Source organism: Homo sapiens, chromosome 8 (genome assembly GCF_000001405.40).
Source record: "Homo sapiens chromosome 8, GRCh38.p14 Primary Assembly".
Classification (NCBI taxonomy): domain Eukaryota; kingdom Metazoa; phylum Chordata; class Mammalia; order Primates; family Hominidae; genus Homo; species Homo sapiens.
Window position 1 is genome coordinate 50,645,093 of NC_000008.11, and position 26,521 is coordinate 50,671,613.

The 26,521-nt window shown below is 34.9% G+C and overlaps 1 protein-coding gene across 18 annotated transcripts in view, besides 1 other annotated feature; it reads left to right on the top strand.

Moving 5' to 3' along the window:
- SNTG1 (syntrophin gamma 1) overlaps positions 1-26,521 on the top strand; it is an 886,897-nt gene that overhangs the window by 735,297 nt on the left and 125,079 nt on the right. For all 18 annotated transcript variants that reach the window (NR_135796.2, NR_135795.2, NR_135797.2 and 15 more), the window contains 2 exons: positions 11,817-11,933; positions 13,500-13,571. Coding sequence is in view for 13 of the 18 variants with exons in the window: in NM_001287813.3 (NP_001274742.1) it covers positions 11,817-11,933; positions 13,500-13,571 (189 nt within the window). In the remaining 5 variants the exon portion in view is untranslated. The remainder of the gene's footprint in view (positions 1-11,816; positions 11,934-13,499; positions 13,572-26,521) is intronic.
- Positions 17,897-18,191: a silencer, noted in NCBI's record as "tiled region #14710; K562 Repressive non-DNase unmatched - State 24:Quies". NCBI's record gives its function as "represses a minimal TATA promoter and a strong SV40 promoter by Sharpr-MPRA in K562 cells {active_cell/tissue: K562}" and the evidence as "EXISTENCE:reporter gene assay evidence [ECO:0000049][PMID:27701403]".

Below are 26,521 nucleotides of genomic sequence, written 5' to 3' on the forward strand. Positions count from 1 at the left end.
GCACACACACATCAAAGATCAGAAAAATGTTCTTTTTAATATAGAAACATGTTTATTTTATAGAAGGTTCTATAATGAACCTTGAAACATATAGAAAATATGTTTATTTTATATATGTTAACAGTTAAATTCACTTAATTCTTTGCTCCTCTCTTCAATTGTGTATAAACTTCTGGTAAACTCATATATTGGGTTTATCGTTTTAGTTTTTCTATTTTTTATTTGTAGGTATCCATTTTATTATTTTGTAATTTTTTTTATATAATTTCCTAACTAGCCACCTAATGTTTGAACATATTAAGCATGATAGTTTTAAAGTCTGTCTGGTCCCTCCAAAATTTAAATATCTTATTTGTGTGTGGATTTTTTTCTCTTGTCCATTTTATCCTCTGTTTTTTTAAGTTGTATTCTTATCTCCTTGTGTGGCTTATAAATTTTGGTTCAAGAAAAGACATTGCATATAAATATATAGACATAATTTGGGGTTCATAGGGATATTATCTTCCTCCAGAGAGAATTTACTTTTATTCCTGGCAAAATAAAATAACAGGTACAATTTATCTCACTGTAATGAGAGGACTAAGGACTGTGTGCTTATGAAGGGCTCGTGGAACACTTAGGCTGCAACCTTTATGAGGTGTTGGTTATTACTCATTTATTTTTCCTCCTGTGTTATATTTTGCCTCATGTTTTTCTCTAGGAGGGCTCAGAAATCAAATATATAGTACTTAGTCCTTTGATACTGCTGGGATTCTCTGTTTTAGCCTCTCGGCAATGATTTTACAATGAGGAAATGCTGAGGGGGAAAGTGTCTCGGAGGGGATGCACATCTCTGAGCTTTTCTTTTCCCAGGCAGCTTGGCTGGTCAAGTCTGTGTTGCCTTGGTAACATTGCAGCACTTTGTAAAATGTTTTTGTACTCGTTAAAAAAAGAATATTTCCTGTTTTAATCATCATCCCTGAAGTAGAATTGATTTGTAATAAAGTGGTCCAATATGTCGTATTTGGAAATACCATGTTTATCAAGAGCCCATCATTTCTTTTTCTCTTTCAAGTGCTAGGACATTTTCATTAATGGTTTCCTCTGTCTTAAGTAATAAACACGGTTCTCATTAATACACAGCCTTACCGGCTGTTGGAATTATAACATAATTAGATGGCCTTCTCCACTAAGCTTGAGGCAGCATCTCTGTCCTTTGGAAGGTTCATTAAAATATTGAGAGGTAGGTTCCACCCCTAAAGTTTCTTTTGAATTCAGTAGGTCTGGGTTAAGACCTGAGAATTTGCATTTCCAATAGGTTCTCAAATGATGCTGATGTTGCTGGACTGGAAACCATGGTAATATTAGATTAGCATGCTGTCCTTCTTCACTTTAGCTGAAAAAATTTACAGATAAATTTGTGGGTTTGTTTTAATAAAAGTAAAGGAAGTAGTGTGCTATCAAAATTAGACTGTGAGAATTTGCCATTTTTTCAGTTTTATTATTTATTATGAACATGTTGCAGGTTATGTTGATTCCTTCTTATAAAACACCTGAAATGCTCCCTCCTTCCTATTGTCTTCCAAAAACTAGGGACAAATGTAGAAATGTAATTATTATGATGTAGATATATATTAAAAACTCTTTCTAAAGTTTATATGGAGGAGCAAAAGACCCAGAAAAACCAACACCATACTGAAGTAGAAGAGCAAAGTCAGGAGGCTCGTATTATCCAACCTCAAATCTTACTATAAAGTGACAGTAATCAAGGTAGTGTTGTATTCAGTGAGAAGACAGACAATATCTCAATGAAACAGAATGGAAAGCCAAGAAATAAAGTCAAACAAGTATAGTTAATCTTTAAAAAAGGAAAAAGAATACAACAAAAAAGGTGATGTTTTCCACAGATGGTACTGGAAAAACTGGACATCCACATGAGGAATAAAAAAATAATAATCTAGACACAAACCTTACACCTTCTACAAACATTAACTCAAAATGGATCATAGACTTAAATTTGAAAGGCAAATAAAACACCTAGAGGATGACATAGGAGAAAATGTAGATGACCTTGGGTATGGTGATGACTTCTCAGATACAACACAAAAACCATAATCCATGAAAGAAATAATTAATTTATTGGACCCCATTAAAGGTAAAATCATCTGCTCTATGAATAATAGGGTCATGAACATGAGAATACAGGCTACAGACTGGAAGAAAATATATGCAAAAGGCATCTGATGAGGAACTGTTCCCTGAACTACACAGAGAACTCTTAAAACTCAACAATTAGAAAGGAAACATCCAATTAGAAACAGGCAAAATACCTGAACAAGCACCTCATGAAAAAAATACACACACACACATATATATATACATATATATGTATACACACACACACATACACACACAAATGGCAAATCAGTTTCATTCTGTTGGGGTATTTTGCTAGTGGGGCAGCTGTGCAAGTTAGGGCAAGAGGTAGATGGGAGCTCTGTGCTTTCTACTCAGTTTTGCTGTGAACCCAAAACCACTTTAAAAAAGAAATTCTATTGAAGAAAAAATAACAAACTAAAATACATTTTAAAATAATAACAAATAAATTATTGCTGTGTAATACAAGCTTCACATATGGGGCATGTTTTGTGATAATGATACATTTAATTTAAAGTGAACAAGCTTCCAAATTATTTATCTTAAAATGATAGATGTTTGGAAGTCCTCTTGTCATTTAATGTATTTAGGGAAATTCTCCTTTTAATTCTACTTTTTTCTAAAACATCCTATTTCTATTATGCCTGTAATTCCCATTTTTACATTTTTTTTTTAGAAATTAAGAGATACACTGTTTCTTTAGAATTATTATTTTCTGTGATACTCATAGGAAGAATGTACTGAAACTGCTTTATGTCTCTTCAACTGCGTAATTATTATACCCAAGTCCTGGCAATGATGGAAAAGGAAAGGTACTTTTTGGCATCTGAGACCAATTGAAAAGAACTCCCTTTTCCTGTTTGGCATAGTAAACGGGAAGGTGAATGTTTGACTGAGAGAGCAAACATGTAGATATATCCCTCACAGATCTGATAATCCCATTTTTATTAGGTATATTCTCAGCTCATTTCCAAAGCTAAACTCAGTTCAAAATCATAAAACTGCATACAGTGATGATATTTCTGGAAGAATAATAGTACACCACCCTTAATATTTCAGCCTGCAGCAAAGTATAGAGGTTGGAAGAGACAACAAACTCAAATGTCATAGTCTTAAGAGTCTCGAACATATTCTTTTTTGTGATTATGTACACCACCGCATTCTTTTTTTTCTTTCTTGCCAAAACAGAGGAGTCATTAATAGAGAAACTGTAAGTTTTATCAGACTGAATTAAAACTAGAAACCCTGACTTAATTGAGAAATAATGCTTATGGGGATATAATTTACAATAACTAAAATTTCATCTTATTACAATGACCCCAGAATGACAATCTAACAATATTTGTTAGAATACTTTTTTCCTATACAACTTACAAAACTCTACATTATTTGAATAAGATAGTGGTAGAAAACTGTTATTAATACACATTGTATGACATTTTAAAAACAGGATTTAATAAAATATATTGTATATATAGAAAGTTCCTAAAACTTAGGCATACAGTTTAATTATTTAAAAAAAATCAAACCTCCATAAACAAGCTACATGTCAAAGAGAGTCTATTGTTAGCCATTGTGCTGCCTGCTCCCTACTTAGTGCACAACTGACTTTCTCTCCTCTCACTTAACTGTTATCCTGAAAGGCTTGATAATAATGGTCTTGCTTTGCTATACTACTTTTTTCTTTCCAACCATGAATGCATTCCAAATACTATAGTTTATTTGAATCAAATCATATATATGTATGACTCTATATTGGTTTCTTTCAGTTAACATGATGTTCCTTGAGATTCATTCATGTTGTTCCATGTAACTATAATTTAATAATTGTACTTACTCTATACTCGTACTATAACACAGCATGTTACTGTATTCATCTACATAAAATATATTGGTGGCACAGTTTATTGATATTTTCCACATCGGCACATAGTTGGGACTACTAAAGAGAATGCTGCTGTGAACACTGGTACACATACTTCTCTAGTGCACTTGCATGCACTGATGTTCAGTTCACATGAGAAGTGAGGAGTCCGAGGTGGGTGAATAACTTGAGGTCAGGAGTGCAAGACCAGCCTGGCCAACATGGTGAAACCCCCTCTCTACTAAAAATACAAAAAATTAGCCGGACGTTATGGTGCGTGCCTGTAATCCCAGCTACTCGGGAGGCTGAAGCAGGAGAGTCACTTGAACTCAGGAGCCGGAGGTTGCAGTGAGCTGAGATTGTGCCACTGGACTCCAGCCTGGGTGACAGAGGGAGACTCCTTCTCAAAAAAAGAAGTGAGGAGTCAGTCTCACCAGCTGTGTTGGAGCTTTTCCATTACTACAGTTACTCACCAAAATTTATCTCTTTCTGTCCTTTTAATTGTAGCCTCTTTGGAAGATAAACACAGGATATACAACAGTGGTTTTAAATTGCATTTCTTTGATGAGCACTTTGGTTGAATACTTTCTCTAAGTTGAATAAGCCAAAATCTCTTTTCTGAAAGCCTCATTAATGCTCTTGCCCACTTTTCTACTGGCTCGTCTTTTTTAGTTTTAGTCTATTATTATCTTATTTTTAAATTTCTATTTTTTACTATTAATTTAGGTTACTCAGTAATATAATTTATTTTGGATAAAATTTTATATTTGGCAACATTGAGAAATTTACAAAATAATTTTGTTTATTTAAAAGTTTTGTGTTTTCTATATATAAATTCATATTATCAATGAAAATCATGGACTTGTTTATCTTCTAAACCTAACATTTAATTTCTTTTTTTTTTCTCAGCACATTGAGTAAAAGTAGAAAATCATTGATTGTTAGTGGTGGTAGTGTATATTCCTGTATTGTTACTGATCTCCAAAGAATAATTTAAATAATTCACCATTAAATACATTTTTAAAAAATACAAATACCCATATTTGGATTATAAATTTAAAAAATTCTATTTTAAAGACAATTTCTATTTATAATTTAAAGATTCTATCATGAATACATGTTGAATTTCATCATTTTTTCTTCGTTTTTTGAGTATGTGATTTTAATCCTTCATTTGGTTCAGATTGTGAATTATATTGATGCTTTTAAATCTCAAGTTATTTATTTAATTAATAAATTTAGACCTCATATAAAGAATGATTTAAATGTAAATTTCCCTTTTTATAAATATTCTTGTCAGGTGCTGTTCCTTTAGATTCATTCACATTGTTCACTCATTCATGTAAAGTTATGGCTGGTCCATAAATTAAGTTGGGACTGATCACCCTTTTATTCTATTCTCTGGAGGACCTTACAAGAATTTAGATCATTTTTAAAAAACAATTAGTAGAAATTAAAAAGATTCACTAGTTCCTCAAGTTTTTTGTTGGAATGTTTTAAATTACAGATTACATTACTTTAATAATTATAGGATTCTATATTTAAAACAAATTTCTTTCTGCATCTATTCTGACATTTGTCTAAGAATTAATATATTTCATTTCATTTATTTATTTATTTATTTTTTGAGACAGAGTCTCACTCTGTTGCCCAGCTGGATTGCAGTGGTGCCATCTCAGCTCTCTGCAACCTCCACCTTCTGGGTTCAAGTGATTCTCCTGCCTCAGTCTCCCGAGCAGCTGGGATTACAAGCATCTGCCACCATGCCTGGTTAATTTTTGTATTTTTAGAAGACACAGGGTTTCACCATGTGGGCCAGGCTGGTCTCGAACTCTTGACCTCAAGTGATCTACCCATCTTGGCTTTCCAAAGTTCTGGGATTACAGGCATGAGCCACTGCGCCTGGCCTCTCATTTAAATTTTAAAAGTAACTTGCAAAATATCATTTATAAGATTTTTAAACATAATTATAATATCTGTAGGATCTGATATCATGGATATTAGTAATTTATGCTGATGCTTGCCATGAGTATTTACATTATTATTCTCTCTTAACAATTATTTTTTGTTTTGTTGAATACCTATTTGTATTTTTTTTCTATTTCATTAGTGCCTGCATCCAATACTTCCTTTTTTTTTGTTTTATTTTGGCTTTTGGGTCTCTCCTTATCTCTCATACTTTCTCTCTTTCTTCCTAAACTTTTTCTAAATTCTTGATCTAGATTCCTGGATTACAGATGTTGAGACTTAAAAAAATGCATATATATAAGATATAAAAGCCCAAGGTTAGCCTTTGTTGAATCCCTCAAGTTTGATATTTCATATTTCATTGTATTTTAGTTCAAACTATTTTTTAACTTCATTTTGTTTTCTTTTGGGGGGTGGATGGATTTTCGCTCTTGTTGCCCAGACTGGAGTGCAATGGCATGATCTTGGCTCACTGCAACCTCCACCGCCCAGGTTCAAGCGATTCTCCTGCCTCAGCCTCCCGAGTAGCTGGGATTACAGGCATGTACCACCAAGCCCAACTAATTTTGTATTTTTAGTAGAGACGGGATTTCTCCATGTAGGTCAGGCTAGTCTCAAACTCCTGACCTCAGGTGATCCACCCACCTCGGCCTCCCAAAGTGCTGAGATTACAGGTATAAACCACCTCACCTGGGCTTATTTATTTATTTATTTTCATTAAATTATTTATTTTTTTGAGACAGAGTTTCGCTCTTGTTGCCCAGGCTGGAGTGCAATGGCATGATCTCAGCTCACTGCAACCTCCACCTCCCAGGTTCAAGTGATTCTCTGTCTCGGCCTCCCGAGTAGCTGGGATTACAGGCATTTTTAGTAGAGATGGGGTTTCTCCATGTTGGTCAGGGTGGTCTCGAACCCCCGACCTCAGGTGATCCTCCCACCTTGGCCTCCCAAAGTGCTGGGATTACAGGCGTGAGCCACCACAACCGGCCTTAACTTCATTTTTGATTTCTCCTTTGATCTGTGAACTATGTTGCTTAATTTTCAAATCTTTTGGAGGGGGATATTCTAATTTTTTGTGAATATTGCTCTCTCATTTCATTCTATTTAGGACACCACATGTCATTTGAATGGCAAAACGCATTTAATACGTGCTTTATCACCTAAATATAATGATATAATTATTATAAAGGTGTAATCACTTCTTGTCATTTCCAGTGCACTTGAAAATAATTTATACTCAATTTTTGTTGAGTCAAGTGTCTTAAACATAATAAATTAAGCAGATTGTATTAATTGAATTGTTCAAAACCTCTATGGCTTGATGGATTTTTAACTCTTATTTTATAGTTATTCAATGAATTGTGCTAAACTTGTTCTACAATTATCAGTTTGTTCATTTCTTTTGTTGTAGTTCCATCCGTTTTTCATTTTATATATTGTAAAGGTATGTTATCAGGCCGGTGCAGTGGCTCAAACCTGTAATCTTACCACTTTGGGAAGCAAAGGAGGATGGATCATTTGAGGTCAGGCGTTTCAGACCAGCCTGGCCAACATGGTGAAAACCCGCCTCTAGTAAAAATATAAAAATTAGCCGGGGTTGGTGGTGGGCACCTTTAGTCCCGGTTACTCGGGAGGCTGAGGCAGGAGAATCACTTGAACCCAGGAGGTGGAGGTTGCAGTGAGCTGAGATCACACCACTGTACTCCAGCCTGGATGACAGAGTGTGACTGTCTCAAAAACAATAATAAGTAAATAAATAAATAAATAATAAATAAATAAAAGGTATGTTATCAGATATAAAAAAATCTAAACATTATTATGTCTTTTTGATAGGTTTGACACTATCATTATTAAAAGTCCTTTTTATTTCTAGAAATAATGTTTGCCTTAGATCTACGTTTTCTAATACCAGTATTGCTAAATCAATTGATTTTTGGTCTCTGTTTGGTATAATTTTTTTATTCTTTTCTTTACAAATTTTCTGTACTTTTATGTCTTAGATAAACCTTACAGAGACAGAATATAGGGTTTTTCTTTTGCTTTTGTTTTTATTTTATTTATTTATTTATTTATTTAGTGTAGTGTAAAAAACTTCATAAGAAGCGAGGCATGATGGGTCATTCTTGCAATCCCAGCACTTTAAAAGTCCTAGACGATCAGCTCGCTTGAGGCCAGGAGTTCAAGACCAGCCTGGGCAACATAGCAAAACTCCGTCTCTACAAAAATTAGCCAGAAGTGGTGGTGTGTGTGCCTGTAGTCTTATCAGGAGGCTGGGGCAAGAGGATCACTTGAGCTGGGGAGGTCACGTTAGAGCTGCAGTGAACTGTGACCCCCACACTTCAGCCTGGTTGATAGTGAGATACTGTCTAAAAAAATATATTAGTAAAAACTTTATAAGGTTGCGTTTATTCTATTTACCTGCTATATAACTAATACCTTGTTTTGATTACATTCTACCACCTTACCTTGTGCCTTACATTTTTCCGCCACATTTGTTTCTTTTTAATCTCCTTTGCTTTTGCATTGTTTATGAAACAAACTGTTTATTTTTTTCTATATGTTTATTTTGAAGTTTTATACATTTCACTAACGTAGTTACTTTTCTTTTATACTTCTAATAAGTGATTACCTGAAAGATCACGACATTTGCTAAAGTTTTTACTTTACAACAGTGGCCCAGAGTATTTTGTACGCCCTTGAATGTTCTTTGGATACTTTTCAAGGATCTAGAAGGTCAAAACTATTTTCATAATAAAATGTAGATGGTATTTGCCTCTTTCACTCTCATTCATTCATAGGTATAAAGTTAAAGTTTTCCAGAAGCTAAACGATGTGTGGTATTACAGGAGAGTAAATGTGGAAACATATATTATAAATCGTCTGCCTTCTATTAAACCAATCATTAATGTACACGTTTTTTTTTCCTGTCTTCTTGCCAGTTTTACTATGCTCTTTGCTGTCTTTGGTTCTCTGAAGACACATGCCAAAGTGCCTTGGTGTGCTTATATTTATCTAGCTTTTGTTTTGTTTGTCTTCTGAATCTGTGTATTGACTTCTTTTTATCTATTTGTGAAAATTCTTAGCCATCATCTCTTTCAATATATCTTCTGTTCATTCCCTTTCTTAGCTGTGCTTGGGTTGGGACTCAAGTTTGAAGTTTTGTATTTCTCAGTGTAACACCTTTTTCTCTTATTCTCATATATGTTTTTTCCAAACTTTTGTCTCTCCAATCATCATTCTAGACCTTTTTTACTGAGCCATCTTTCTATTCACTAATTCTTTCTTTAGCTGCTTTTTAATGTGTTGTTAAACCCAACTTTACGTTTCATAAATATTTATTTGTCTAATTTCTAAATGGAACATTTTATAATCTATTATCTCAGATATACCCTGATGAAAGTTTCAATTTTGTATCTTATATTCATATACATAGCAAACTTAATTAATGTCTGTATTAGAAAATTCCAATATCTGAAATGCCTAAATATTCAGTTCTGCTGTCTATTGTTTTTATTCTTCATGTTATTCTCCTGATGTACTTCATGAAGTTTTATTTCCTTATATTCTTGGTTATTTTTATTCTCTTCCAAGAAACAAGTCTTATGAAAATATATTGACATAAGTAATGTTATTGTCATCCAGAAAGAATTTCCATTTTCTTTAGTCAGGAGCCTGACAGAATTCCAGGATCATCATAAACCATTTAAAGCTTGGCATTTTCTGGATCATCTCAATGGCTTAAATCTGAGCTCCAGTCCTGGCAAGGGCTTGATGACTTCTGCCTTAACTTTGTAATTAGGATGCAGACATTTCTGATCCTAAGTAAAAGCAGAGCATGTTTACTAAGGCCTCCACATGTGGAAGATTCTGGACTTTAACATTTTGATCCAAACCTGTGAGACTGGCCAATGTAGCTGATTCTCTCATGTGACATTTCCGTGTAGAAAGCACACCTATGGCAAAAGTTGACCCGCATTTGTATTAATGATTAACCTCTCTCAATTTTCATATTCCTATAAATTTTTCCTGGTTGTCTTTTAATAGCTTGTAAAACATCTAGTGCTTTAAGCATATTCTTTTCCAGTTTCCTAAGGTAACATTAGATGGTGGGTTGTCTACATTCTCTAATATGCAACTACTGGAAGTGTAAGCTATAATATCCTTTTCATTTTAACTCCTGTAATTATTCTGACACAGTAAATATATATTAAACTAAGTCATAGTTTTCTTTATGGGATGGTTATCTATTAAGCTTCATTTACCTTTTCAAAACTGTGTTGTTATCTGATCAACTATACCTGGCCATATAAGCAATACAAAATAATCAGTTATTATAGCTGGTTCTTATTATGTTATTATTAACCAGTGAAGTCTCTATGTAATGCATATGTTAGTAACCTAAAAGATTACAGAATACATTATATAATTAAAAGAGCAAGGCATCTTGGTTCAAATTCCAATTCTAACTTATATCAAGTTTGATTCATTTGTTAAGCTAATTTATTTAAATCACAATCCCTTAATTTGTTAATTCAGGGACTTTATAGCTCATAGGCTTATTGTAAGACAAACTGAGATAATGAGATGGTGAATAATCCAATTATTTTAGAGAGTAAACATAATTAATGGAAAGAAGATGAGATCTATGAGTAGACGACAGTAATATTTCAAATCTTGCATTTCAAATTCTTGCATTGTTATTAGTCAACTGTCACCACATTAATGCTGCAAAACAAACCATCCCCTTACTAGCTGGAATACAACAATAAGTATTTCTTTCTTTCTGAAAGTAAACTGATTGTCATTAGCCACCAGTTTGGAGCTAGCTGGGCTTGGTCCAGGTGTTAAGCTGAGCTCTGGTCTGCTGGCATGTGTTCCTATCCTGGGTATGAGTTTTTCATGATAATGGCAAAAGCACAAGATACTAAGCTAACTCTACTTGCGACACATTCATTAATATCCTATTGATGATAGAAGGTCTCATGAGCCAAAAAAAGAAAAAAATATCTAGGAGGAGGACTTAACTCTGCCAACCATAAAGCCAACGTAAATTATATGAAGTGGGAGGTATATCCTCCCGCACAGAGTTGTGATGAGAAAGAAATTGAATGCCACATGAATATGTTGTTAGAAATGTCATACTTATTTGTTAAGTGTTTGTGTATATGTTTGACTCTCAAGAAAATCAGATCATAAAAAGAGGAGTGGCTCATCTCACAAAATCTTTGTTTGGAAATCGATCTGCCTTTATTAAGCACTAGAGGCTAAAGAGTTGATTTCAATGCCATTTGATATATGAATACACTAGCATAAATTGTATTCATCTAAGATCAATGATTAAAAGGAGGGCATTTATCATTCTCCCCTATCAGGCACAGAGGAGAAGTGGTGTGCCGCCCTAGTGGTATTGCCATAAGATGTCTATCTGATTTGCTTTCTTTACTCACTTCAACATTCTGTATTAAAGCACATTCCCAATTAATAAAATGTCAGTAATTGGTAAACAAGTGCGATGCATCAATGAATTCTATTATAAATAAGTATTTTTTTCTGTAAGAATTGATAGAGTGGGAAATATAATCCATGGCAGGTTGGATGGCATAAACACTTGATAAATGCTGGTAGAAACGTATAAGAAATTCTTATGAGAGGTTTACATTCATTTACTGAAGCCAAATCTGGTTTAATGTACTTTTTTGCATCAATCAATTTGATAATTTTATGTGAGTTTTTAATACTACATGAAAAATACCTAAAATATTTTTAATATTTGCATCTAAATATTTTTAGATATAAGATATCTAAAATAAGAAGTTTTGACAGTTGATTGTATTCCATTTTCTTGCAGATTGTCTACATGGGCTGGTGTGAAGCCCGGGAGCAAGACCCCCTCCAGGACAGAGTGTACTCCCCGACCTTCCTGGCCCTGAGGGGCTCATGTCTCTACAAGTTTCTGGCACCTCCAGTACGTGTTTTATTGAAATGTATTGGTCGTTTCCATATTATCACAAGAGATTGACACCAACTTAACAGCACCAAATAGTATACCATCAATATTTTTAAAAAATAATATAGAGAAAAAGTAGAAATCAGTTTATCTGATTTAACTTACTAAAATATATATTCTGACATTAAACATTTGCTTTAACACCCTTGAAAAGTCTGGAACTTACTTCTTTATAAATAGTGAACCTATAAAATAATGGATCAAATTATAATGCCATTACAAATCTCATGACGACATGGGAAAGGAGATTTTAAGAAACATTTTCAAGCATATGTCAGTGTATTTTGTTTATGGAATAAAAATTAAAGAAATGAATATATCAAAAGTGAAATAAAAAAGAATAAACTGTTTTAGGGCTATACATGAATGAACATGTTTACTAAACTCTTATTTTCCAAGGATCTTTTGAAAGTTCTTTTAAATTTATTCAGCACTTTTAATTACTAGTAATTTATTATTAGCAAAGAATAATAAGGAAATTTCAAAATGATAGCATCTTATCTAGCTACTATTAAGTCTATCTCACCCTATGGTAATCCCATAGGATGATGTTAACTCTCATGGTGTTCAACATTTAAATTAGAGGATTCTATCCTTGGCAAACAACACAAATACATTCTGGTAAGCTATCATTTATGACAAGTCGAACTTGCTTATTTATGTTGTACAGGTCTCTCTATATAAAATCAATAACATTTTCATCTTCTATTATATTCTATATCCTAGTTATTGAGATTTGTACTAGATATGTATAGATACCTATTGCACCTCAAGTCTTGCTTTTGGAAACATGTACCTTGCAGCTCAGAAGACACTTAATAAATATTTATTGAATATAAATACCAAATGCCAGACCAGTCACTTGCAGGTCTAATAATACATAAGATTTAGAAATCATCAGGTCTAACTTGCTGCTGTTTTAAATGTCTGTCTCTACACAAAGTTTAAAGCACTAGGAAGACAGAGGAAAAATTGATATTTATATATTTTACTCTATTCCTACTCTGAATAATTTATTTGACAAGACAGTTAAATATAGTTTCCAACCTAAGTAAGTGAAATAACTGCATTATGCTTTGGGTATGTTTGCAATGTCACAGTCATCTTGGAATTTCTTAATATAAATGATGTATATTTAAAAAATATAGCTGTGTTGAGGTCTGGTATTCTCTGTATTTAACTAGTGGTAAATTAAAAAAAAAATATGAGTGTGGAATGTAAATACTTAGTATTTATAGGTAGAGAATGCGTATATTATTTAAGATATATAAGGACACTGGGCAAATGAGAACTGTTGCACATAATATAAATCATTTGCTGAAAGCATAAGACAAATGGTAACAAAGCTTGGAAAAGAGGAAACAAAAGCATTATGTAGGGTCCTTTATGAGCATGGCTTCACAGATGAGAGACTAGATACATCTGTGAAAGTTTTTTCTTATTTTTCACTATATTATGCAAATCAAATACAGTGGTAAATAACTTTCTAAAACAAATTAAACATTATTTTCTTATCTTTTAAAGGTGACCACCTGGGACTGGACGAGAGCAGAGAAAACATTCTCAGTTTATGAGATTATGTGCAAGATCCTCAAGGTATGATCAATATGTAGTCAGTATTTGAATGGCTTTTCCTCAGCAAATAGTGCCTCTGGGCTCATAAGCAGCTCATGAAAACAAATCATTCATGGAATGAAAGAAGAGACACGATAAAGACAAATGAAAGAGAAAGAAAATAAACTGGACAAAAAAGAGAAAATATAGAATGCACAGAAGTGCACTGGCACTCAGCTATCTGCTTAAATAACTTGCAAGCAGACTCTGCAGTCCCACCGTGGGTGAGGGAACAGGGAGAAGCTCCTCAGGAGTTCACTGGGGAAGAAGAAAATTCAGTTGAAAGTAGTCTGAATTTAAACGTTGGTTGTTACCATGTTTTTTTTTTTAATTCTTTTTTTCTGAATAAAATGCAAAAGAGAAAGATTTGGGTGAGACCTGGAATTAGAAAATATAGAAAATATCAGGAAAAATGCAAAGAAAAGTTTTGCTGTTTTGTTCTTAATCTCATGGCTTGACCATCTTTTTGCATATGTAAAAGAACATTCGATTGTCATATATCAGTTGAATTTCATGCCATATGCAGGATTATTACAATATCAAGCCATCACAAATTCTATAAAATGTCACATGGTTTCTATAGCGTTTTTTAAAGAATTAAAATTGGAATAACCTATAAAACATGAAGACTAATATATATTCACTTTCTACTTTAGGGTTTGTAGGCTTGGACTCACCACAGATTGATAATTAAATTCCTGCATAAGGTTGACCTTGTTTCTGTATCCAAGGGGAGCTAATTTCCCTTTGCTTTATGTTAGCTATTTCTCTTCCCGTTAAAGACTTAGCAGAGTAGAAAAATGCTGAAACATTTAAAATATAATAAAATGCATCAAAAGTGTCTGAAGGCAGAGAGACAAAAATTATAATTACCTCAAAATTGTTTATAGTTTCTGTTCCTTATAGAGAACTTTGGATTAAAGCTGAAGTTCTCTGAAGTGCAAAATCCAGCCAAAAGTATAGTTCATTGATTGCTCATCACTGTGCATGCTTTGAGTTCTTCTGTAGGCGTAATGGTGGAAGGACAACCTGAAATACTTGAGTGTATTGTTAGTAAAGAAGGGTCTGACAATTTCTTAAACAGAGGCTAGTATCTGAGGAAAAGGAGATCATACACGACTCCAGTTTTCTGAAATAATTGCCAAAATGGCTAATGAGATAGCTTTCTTTTTTTTGGAGATGGAGTCTTGCTCTGTTGCTTAGGCTGGAGTGCAGTGGTGTGATCTCGGCTCACTGCAACCTCCACCTCCCAGGTTCAAGCAACTCTCCTGCCTCAGCCTCCTGAGTAGCTGGGACTACAGGCACATGCCACCATGCCCAGCTAACTTTTTGCATTTTAGTAGAGACAGGGTTTCCCCATGTTGCCCAAGCTGGTCTTGAACTCCTGAGCTCAGGCAATCTGCCTACCTCCGCCTCCCAAAGTGTTAGGATTACAGGCATGAGCCACCGCGCCAGGGCGAACTGTGTATTTTTAGGAAAGCTACTCATGTAATTAGGGGAAGAAAAGAAAGAAAGAAAAGAAAAGAAGGAAAAGAAAAGAAGAAAAGAAAAGGAAAGAAGGAAGGAAAGAAGGAGGGAAGGAGAGAGAGAGAGAAAGAAGGAAAGAAGAAAGAAAGAGAAAGAAAGAGAGACAGTAAGAAGGAAAGAAGAAAGAAAGAAAGAGAAAGAAAGAAAGAAAGAGAGAGAGAGAAAGAAGGAAGGAAGGAAGGAAGAAAAAGAGAAAGAAAGAAAAGAAAGAAAGAAAGAAGAAAGAAAGAAAGAGAAAAAAGAAAGGGAGGAAGGGCAGGGAGTGCACAGAGGGGAGAAAGGAAAGAAGGAAGGAGAAGGAAGGGAGGGAGGGAGGGAGAAGGAAGGAAGGAAAGAAAACTGCCTCAACAAATCAACTTTGTCTATTCTCTATCTGTACACTAATACAACTTTTATCATAGTAATAACGCAACACATATTTATATATTCTTACTTAGACTTAAATTATTTTCTAACCACTCTCCAAGTAGCTGCATGATCTTTTAAATCCTCTCTTTTAAAAAAAGCTATTTAAACATTAGAACATAATGCAGTTTACTATAGTAGTTAAAAAGGATAATTTTAAAGGAAATAATAAACATTATGTTTAGCTCTATCAAGATATACAAACAATATGTTCTATCTCTTTGTTACAATTTTTGACAAAGATTATGCAATTCATGATCTGCTATTTTGTGTAAAAATATGTCTTGAGATTTTTTTCTATGACAGTTAATGTTCCTTAAAAACACTGATAACTTTTTGATAGATTTCATCTATCCCATCATTTGCTTGTATTCATTGAGTCCACTTTAAAATTTTACATTTAGTTTTTTCCCCCACTTGTTATTGCTATCAGGCATATCACAACAATCATTATTTGAATGGTTTAATAGAAAATTAAATGTTTGCTATATACCAGGTAACCTCAGCACTTGTTATGTGGCTGAGAAAAATGCAGAAAAAGCCACTGCTTTCATTGAGCTTGCATTTTATTAGGTGATATGATGTTAAGTAAATCAATAAAGAAGACAAAAATAGTAAGTAAATAAATGAGACAAAATAATAATATGTAGGAAGGACTGATATTTGCTCAGACTTTTATGCAAATTCTTATTTCCTTTAGTCTAAATTCTGAGCTTTGGAAACCCCATGTGGAAAAATATTTTAATGTATTCAAGATATTAAATCCATGTGTACAAATTGCCTCCTACAAGTCATCTTAACTTATGCGGCCATCAGAAGTGTCTATGAGAGTGCCTGTATATTTACATTCTGACCAAATTAAAATCAAAGACTACTTCTCATTTTAACTTTCTATATACAATTTTCTATAAGCCTTAGTTTACTTGAATTTTTTTAATACTTCAAGTTCTGGGATACATGTGCAGAACGTACAGTTTTGTTACGTAGGTATACATGTACCATGGTGGTTTGCTGCACCTATCCACCCATCATCTAGGTTTTAGGCCCTGCATGTATTAGGTATTTGTCCTAATGATGTCTCTCCCCTTGCCCCCAACCTCCCAACAGGCCCTGGTGTGTGATGTTCTACTTGGGAAAATGTTTACATAGGTTAGTGAGGCCTGGCGATAAGTATTCTCATACATCAAATACAATGTAAATCTACCTTCAATTGTTGTATGTAATCAAGGAAGTCCCCCTCCCCTTAGTAAGTACAATGCTGGTGCTTTATGCTTTGTGGCTTGACATTAGACATATAAAGCCATCCTTCAAGCATTCCTTTTCCCAAAGGAAAATTTCATGTAGCATGAGAACAGAGGAGTGGCTTCTAGATTCGATGCTAATGGATTATTTTCCTGCATGCAGATTACCTTCTGGCCTTCTCCTGTGTCAGGATCACTGGTTGATAAGGAAGCCAGTCAGATAGGTGGGGCAGGTGAGCAAATAAGAAGGGGCATCTTCTACAGCCTAAATCAGAGGGGGAGTCTTCTACAGCCCAGCCCTCTCCTGCCATGAGGTATCACTTCTGATGCAAGCTGTGCAAGTTGTAGACTTCTGCCTCCAGAAAATGGATCCCTCAGGTGAGGCTAATTAAAAGTCAGATTTGAATGTCTGGATCACAGAAGAACTTGCCTGTGACCATTAATCAGGAAAATCCTGTCCCTTCTGATGTGTTCATAATGAAGCTACACCAGTAATAACAAAAATGAAGCAATAAGGTTTATCTGGTACATATAGTTTATATGTATGTGCCAGGTGTTGTCCTAAGTGCTTAGTATATGAATTCAGTTTGTATTTACAGCACCACTATCTGTCAGTTATTGTTATTCCCATTTTAGAGATTTGGAAACTGAGGCAAAAAGCAGTTTAAGTAAATAGCCTAAGGTCACACAGCTAGTAAATATCAGAGCTAAAGATATGAATCTTGCAATGTGTCAAAATTCTGTGCTCTTGCACATGATACTACACTGTCTCTGTCTCTCAGCGTAAATATTGATAATTTGGGAAAAAAGATGGGAACCAGAGAGCCAGCCTGGTACTGATGAGAGAGCAAAGGTTTCAGAAAAAGGAATTTGGCAACAAATGCCACTTCTGTTACTAAAACATTACCCTTTATGAGTGTATTGGGCACTATGAACTTCAGTTCTTCATCTGTGAAATGCAGCTATGGATGCAGAGGGTGCTGTGAAGATTAGGAATTGGTTAACTGATTTGTGAATGCATTTTTGTCTGTTAATTCATATCAGTTACTTCGAGTACCTTCTATGTGCCAAGCACTCCACTAGGTATTAAGGATAAATACAACAGTATAAGAGAGTTGAACTCACAAAAATTCCAGCTGATGAAGGAGTTTAGGAAGGGCATTTTGGAGGAGGCTTTTAATGAACTGAAACCTAAGTGACTGTGAAAGGGCTCCACAGAGGAAGATGTGTCATGGCAGGGGTTGGAGTCCAGCCAGTAGGAGGGGAGGAGCAACCTGGTCCAAGGAATAATGTATAAACTTGCCCAGAGCTACAAAGAAGTATGTGTCCCTTCAACAAGGCAAACAAGTTTGTTACAGCTGTAGTCATCTTGGGTATGAGGTTGGTGTTGGTGTTTGGATGGAACAGATCATAGGAAAAGGCCTTAATAAAGCACATGAACTTTATCTGAGGAACAAAGGACAGCCACTAAAGCATGTCAAGCATAGGGAGGGACTGAGGTTGCCCATTTAAAAATCCTCTTCGAATGCAACGTGAGATGGAGATGAAGGGGCCAGAGGGGAGTGCTCCTGGGACATCTTCTGGTCAACCAGGGCATGGACAGCGGGCTAGGAGGAGAGAGGCAGAGGAGTCGGGCCTGAATAGATAGTGCCCTCACAGTAGCTACTCACCTGCATAGACCAGCCTTCTTGCACCGCTCTGGTTTGACTCGTTTTGCTCTGATTCTAGCCTGAGCTGTAACTCCCTAACACGGCACTGTAGTGGTGCATGGCTGGAAAAAAGACAACCTGCATTTTCAATTACAGACTAAAATCTCAAGAAAGCCTCTAATTCTTCCTATTGTTATGTCATATTTTCTTAGCCTATTCTCTTGTCTAATCTACTGGAACTTATATTAAACCTTTTTCATTCTTTTTTGAAATTAATATACACTTCCCATTCTCACTTTTAGGAGATGATCCTACTTCCTACATGCAAACTCTCTCAGCATTGCAAATGCCTCCTGGCAGCCCTATCCTGACAGATAACTATCCTTGCTCTTATCTAATACTAAGCCTCCCATTGGGTAACAGATCTCAACCACACTTACATAAACAGCAATTCTATCCTGATGACTCCAAATGCATATGTTCTGCCCAGATCTTGTCCCCGAACTCTAAGTATTCAACAGTTTATATTTCTGCCTACTGACATACCTAGTAGAAATGTCCATGTTACACGTCTCAAAATTTAGGATCAACAATTGGAGAGAATGTAAAGCAACATGGAAGTTAGAGAAAAGAGAAAAACAAAAGCAAAAACTAGAGTTTGGCTATTTTTTTAGAAACTCATGGCAATTAGCTGAGATGATACTAAGTTATAGCACGGAGTACATTTTAGCATTACAGACCTCTGGTGCCTGCCAACAGGGGTGTGTTGAGCTGTTAGGGAAACTGTCATTTATTCAACTTTGGGACTTTAATAATTAAGAAAATGCAAAACTAGGAATATAAAATTAGGCATGAAAGTGAATATATATCAAGAATGAGAAAAAGCTCATGATGCAGAATAAAGTTGGCAAATGCCACAAACATTGAAAATCTATGAAAAATACCCTATATTTGTAATTAATTCACTAAGACACTTATTGAGTACTTTTTCTCCTATATTTTTGGGGGGCTGTGTATTCTTTGATCACCTCTTTGAATAAAAAGGATTTTGTAAACCAGTGTCTATGGGAAAAAGAAGTAGACCCCCTGCATCTTGCCCTCATCTCTCTGGGCACCATGATCACCTGCCTCCCAGAGGATACCCAAGGCCTTTAGCCCAGGGACAGCTACCAATGGAACTTAGATCTCATCCTACAGCTGAATTCAGGAGTACAGTTGCAATGATCAGGTTCTTCCTAGTGAGAGGAAGATCGGACGTAACTGCATGACTTGAAGCCCAAGTGTAGTAGTTGTTATGCTAACAGAGCATACATGGGGAACATAGAGGAGTAGTGAAAGGAATGTCTGTCTTCATTCATAATAGATGAGCAGTGTATCATTTGTATAAAAATGTACTCCCTATCATTTGGCCAGGAAACCCTTAAAAACTAGAGGATCATTTTGTTTGTAGATATTCAACAACTGCCTGTTTCAGAGCTAGCAATAGATTTAGCAAGAACAAGTCTTTGGATGACAGAGATTATTTTTTTAAACAGTATTTTTCATGATACTGTTTTTCAGCCTGGTATTACAAATAAGTTTACATTTTTGATAAAATATACATAGTGAGCAATACAGTCACACTGATATTCATCTAAAATCATTTTTAGAAAAAAGGAGAAAACATGCTTGGCAGGGTTGAATGAGGAGGGTATTCAGAGTGAATGCAGGTGGGAGATGGGGAAGGAGAAAGAGGGATTGATCAACTAAGTAGATATGTTATGCGGAAGGTGAAATAGGAGCCTTATTTCTCACTGTTAGAGATGAAAGTCATAAATACAGAAAGAAAGAAGCCAAGAATAAATTCTGTTGTATTGGATTACAATTAGAAATATTGGTATGCAGCCTCAGTTTGTAGTGTGTGTTTGTGTGTGTGTGTGTGTGTGCATGCATGTATATGTATGCAGCTGTACCTTACTCTGTCCCCAAAATATCTGGGGTCAGAGAGTTCTCAATAGCAAGGAGCACACTCAGCAAAGCTCTCCATTTCTCAATATTATTCTCCACTGCAAAAAGCCAGAACTCTGTAGAGAAATGTTTGATGGCTGGGTTGTGGCGTAGAAAGTCAAAGATGAGGCTAAGTCATATTACTGTGCTAGGAAATAAGGAGGTGTTCAGAGAATGATGGAGATAGATGAAAAGACATAAAAGCAACTTTCAAGAGCATCTATTGGGCAAATTCGGGACAAATTGAGCAATTCTGGGATAAAATAAATGTTAGCAATGGATTATAACTCAGCAAATAAAATAGGAAACCATTAAGTCTATCTTCATAAAAATAAAGAAGTGAAAAATGTGACAAGGGACAAAGAACTTACTTAGTTTCAAAGTACCTCCTCAGAAATAACTTACTGTAATTATAAAAGAATAAAGGAGAACTTTACAGAGCACAAAAGTGACAGCATTGCCTTAACAAATTGATCAAAGTGAACACTTCATTAAAGCAACACATCAAAAATTATGCATGTCTGATAGGGAGACAGACTATAATAATTAGCAAAATAGCAGGTTCATGACATTCCCACTAAAGCTGGGTACAAATGAAATCTAACTAGGAGGAAACATCTATCTAATGTAATGTAAAGGAGAAAACCAATGTAATCTAACCAAATCTAATGTGATTTAACCTATTCTAGTCCTGAGAAAATCTCCAACAAACCCAAGTGAGACACATTTCATATAAAATGAATGTCCTATTTTCTTCAATAGTGTCAAAGTCATTAAAGTTAGGAAAAGATCAAGGCATTTTTCTCACTGAAGGCAAGTAGCATCACAGAACAACCACATGCAGCAGAGGATTCTGAACTGGTGAGTCATGAATGAAGCCCAAGGACTAGACCACATCAGAGTCCTTGCTTTGATGATTGCATTGTGTTTATGTAGGTGAATGCCCTAATGTTCTTGTTTGTAGAAGGTACACACACACTGAAGTATGAGGGTGGGAGGTAATGAAGTATCACATTGGTAGTTAACAAACAGTTCAGAAAATAAGTATTTGTAATTCACTTGCAAATGTTCTTTAAATCTGATTGTATTAAAAATTATTCCATGTCAGGAGTTTCTATATAAATAGAAATGCAAAACAAGCAAACAAGAAAAAGTGAACCTGCCTCATATAGAGACAACACAGTAAATTATTATAGAAATCCCTAAAGGCTACCAGGCTTGTACAACATTCTAAGACAGTGCTAAAACTGTGCTCAAATTAAGAATAGCTAAGAAGAAATACTAACAAAAATAAGTAGAATAAACAAAGGCATAAATAGAAAAAATAACTTTTTAAAATTAAAATAATGGAATAATTACATCTTCAATAAATAATGTGTCAATTTATTTATAACCCTTATATTTTGATATCAAATATATATTTTCCCATACCCCATATTTACTTAAATGTGATTGAAAAGCTAAATCTAATATTATTATTTCTTTTATCGCAACTGCTTGCATTTTAATAGAAAAGAGATGCTCCAAATTAGAGTATGTTTCTTATAATATGGTTTAAAATAAAAGCAAAATAAATCAATATACAAAATATAGAAATATATAATATACACATAAATTAAGGTATAACGGAAGATAATACATGATATAAGAGTATATCGATATCATTATTAGGCAAATGCTAAAGGTTTGGGAGAGACCAAAATATTTCCAGCAGACTGTAATTTATGTGAAGAATCATTTTACGATAGAATTTTATATCAATGGCAGGTATTAGTAGAAACTATTGTAAGAACGCCAAAGTAACCACTTTTTTAAAAAGTTACATTTTAGGGAGGCCATTTGTCTTTATCTGTTTTCTGTTGCTATAACTGAATACCACAGTCTGAGTAGTTAATAAGGAACAGAGGTTTAACTATTAGCTCATGGGTCTGGAGACTGTGAAGTCCAAGAGCATGATGCTAGCATGTCGTGAAGGTCTACCAGTTGTGTCATAACACAGAGGGAAGCATCACAAGGAGAGATAGCAAGCATAGTAACTCAGGTCTTTTTCTTCTCTTTATAAAGCTAATAAACCCATCACGGGGCCCCATCCTGATGACCTTATCTAATTCTAATTGGCTCCCCAAGTCCCTACCTCTTATCAACATATAAATTTGGTTATTAAGTTTGCAACACATACAATTTTGGAGACATATTCAAACCATAGTACCATCTTAGTAAAAAGAGGTGTCTCTGCATTTTCTGACTATAATTATATCCATTTTCATTTTTAAAGTAATTTTTCTTAAAAAGGTTGATTGCTTTACATTTTATTAAGTAATTTAAAATTAATATGGTTATTTTTTTACTGTAACACTTTATAATTAAATTAGTATAAAAGTTTAGTCTCTTCCTAAGCTACAAGCTTCTGAAAATATGTTTTTAGTTTTTCCTCTGATAATAGAACTTTAATTCCCTGGTGATTTTTAAAAAACGTTACAGGCCGTGCACTTAGGTTTTAGTGTTGCTGCTCTGGGTGAGAACTAAGGTTCAGCCATTCCTCGTTCTGTCTATGAACATGCCAGAGAGAACACATCAGAAGGAAGTCACTGCCATCCACAAAGCTAATCCCAGCAACTTCAAATCCAGCTTCCTGTCTTAAAAATATAATAATCGTCATTGATTAAAAACATAATTTTATTTTTTATTTTTGTTATCTAATAACATTTTCTTGGTTTATTAATATTTTATCACATATCCTTTTGTGAAAGTGACTCCCATAAATTCCCCATCTGTTATATAAAGTACTTATTTCCCTTTTACCAAGACATCTTTCAAGTGCCAAGTATTAATTAATTAATTCTCATGTTTCAAAATTTGTTTCATTGACCTATATTTGCTCTTAAAAGTTCAAAGACATCATTGTTTCATACTCTTTTCTTGTTTTGTTTTTTTTTCCAAGGAGAGGTTTCTGATTCTTTTAGCTAGATCTTGTCTAGAGATACCTATGTTCTTCATCTTTCGCACATTATTATTATTATTATTATTATTATTATTATTATTATTATTTTGCTTTAAGTTCTGGGATACATGTGCAAAATGTGCAGGTTTCTTACCTAGGTATACGTGTACCATGGTGATTTCCTGCACCTATCGACCTGTCCTCTAAGGTACCTCCCCTGACCCTTAAACCCTCAACAGGCCCTGATGTGTGTTGTTTCCCACCCTGTGTCCATGTGTTCTCATAGTTCAACTTCCATTTGTGAGTGAGAACATGTCAGTGATAGTTTGCTGAGGATGATGACTTCCAGTTCATCCATGTCCCTGCAAAGGACATGATCTCATTTCTTTTTATGGCTATGTAGTATTCCATGGTGTATATGTACCACATTTTCTTTATTCAGTCTGTCATTGGTGGGCATTTGGGTTGGTTCCACGACTTTGCAATTGTAAATAGTGCTGCAGTAAACATACGTGTGCATGTGTCTTTATAGCTGAATGATTTATAATCCTTTGGGCATATACCCAGTAATAAGATTTAAAAGAATCTCTGGGACACATTCAAAGCAGAGTGTAGAGGAAAATTTATAGCAATAAATGCCCACAAGAGAAAGCAGGAAAGATCCAAAATTGACACCCTAACATCACAATTAAAAGAACTAGAAAAGCGAGAGCAAACACATTCAAAAGCTAGCAGAAGGCAAGAAATAACTAAAATCAGAGCAGAACTGAAGGAAATAGAGATTTAAAAAAAAAACCCTTCAAAGAATTAGTGAATCCAGGAGATGGTTTTTTCAAAGGATCAACAAAATTGATAGACCACTAGCTAGACTAATAAAGAAAAAAGAGAGAAGAATCAAATAGACGCAATAAAAAATGATAAAGGGGATATCACCACTGATCCCACAGAAATACAAACTACCATCAGAGAATACTACAAACAACTCTATGCAAATAAACTAGAAAATCTAGAAGAAATGGATAAATTCCTCGACACATACACCATCCCAAGACTAAACCAGGAAGAAGTTGAATCTCTGAATAGACCAATAACAGGATCTGAAATTGTGGCAATAATCAATAGCTTACCAACGAAAAAGAGTCCAGGACCAGATGGACTCACAGCCGAATTCTACCAGAGATACAAGGAGGAACTGGTACCATTCCTTCTGAAACTATTCCAATCAATAGAAAAAGAGGGAATCCTCCCTAACTCATTTTATGAGGCCAGCATCATCCTGATACAAAAGCCTGGCAGAGACACAACCAAAAAAGAGAATTTTAGACTAATATCCTTGATGAACATTGATGCAAAAATCCTCAATAAAATACTGGCAAACCAAATCCAGCAGCACATCAAAAAGCTTATCCACCATGATCAAGTGGGCTTCATCCCTGGGATGCAAGGCTGGTTCAATATAGGCAAATCAATAAATGTAATCCAGCATAGAAACAGAACCAAAGACAAAAACCACATGATTATCTCAATAGATGCAGAAAAGGCCTTTGACAAAATTCAACAACGTTTCATGCTAAAAACTCTCAATAAATTAGGTATTGATGGGATGTATCTCAAAATAATAAGAGCTGTCTATGACAAACCCACAGCCAATATCATACTGAATGGGCAAAAACTGGAAGCATTCCCTTTGAAAACTGGCACAAGACAGGGATGCCCTCTCTCACCACTCCTATTCAACATAGTGTTGGAAGTTCTGGCCAGGGCGATTAAGCAGGAGAAGGAAATAAAGGGTATTCAATTAGGAAAAGAAGAAGTCAAATTGTCCCTGTTTGCAGATGACATGATTGTATATCTAGAAAACCCCATTGTCTCAGCCCAAAATCTCCTGAAGCTGATAAGCAACTTCAGCAAAGTCTCAGGATACAAAATCAATATACAAAAATCACAAGCATTCTTATACACCAATAATAGACAAACAGAGAGCCAAATCTTGAGGGAACTCCCATTCACAATTGCTTCAAAGAGAATAAAATACCTAGGAATCCAACTTACAAGGGATGTGAAGGACCTCTTCAAGGAGAACTACAAACCACTTCTCAAGGAAATGAAAGAGGATACAAACAAATGGAAGAACATTCCATGCTCATGGGTAGGAAGAATCAATATCATGAAAATGGCCATACTGCCCAAGGTAATTTATAGATTCAATGCCATCCCAATCAAGCTACCAATGACTTTCTTCAAAGAATTGGAAAAAACTACTTTAAAGTTCATATGGAACCAAAAAAGAGCCCGCATCACCAAGTCAATCCTAAGCCAAAAGAACAAAGCTGGAGGCATCACGCTACCTGACTTCAAACTATACTACAAGGCTACAGTAACCAAAACAGCATGGTACTGGTACCAAAACAGAGATATAGATCAATGGAACAGAACAGAGCCCTCAGAAATGACGCCACATATCTAGAACTATCTGATCTTTGACAAACCTGAGAAAAACAAGCAATGGGGAAAGGATTCCCTATTTAATAAATGGTGCTGGGAAAACTGGCTAGCCATATGTAGAAAGCTGAAACTGGATCCCTTCCTTACACCTTATACAAAAATTAATTCCAGATGGATTAAAGACTTAAATGTTAGACCTAAAACCATAAAAACCCTAGAAGAAAACCTAGGCATTACCATTCAGGACATAGACATGGGCAAGGACTTCATGTCTAAAAAACCAAAAGCAATGGCAACAAAAGCCAAAATTGACAAATGGGATCTAATTAAACTAAAGAGCTTCTGCACAGCAAAAGAAACTACCATCTGAGTGAACAGGCAACCTACAAAATGGGAGAAAATTTTTGCAACCTACTCATCTGACAAAGGGCTAATATCCAGAATCTACAATGAACTCAAACAAATTTACAAGAAAAAAACAAACAACCCCATCAAAAAGTGGGCGAAGGACATGAACAGACACTTCTCAAAAGAAGATATTTATGCAGCCAAAAGACACATAAAAAAATGCTCATCATCACTGGCCATCAGAGAAATGCAAATCAAAACCACAGTAAGATACCATCTCACACCAGTTAGAATGGCGATCATTAAAAAGTCAGGAAACAACAGGTGCTGGAGAGGATGTGGAGAAATAGGAACACTTTTACACTGGTGATGGGACTGTAAACTAGTTCA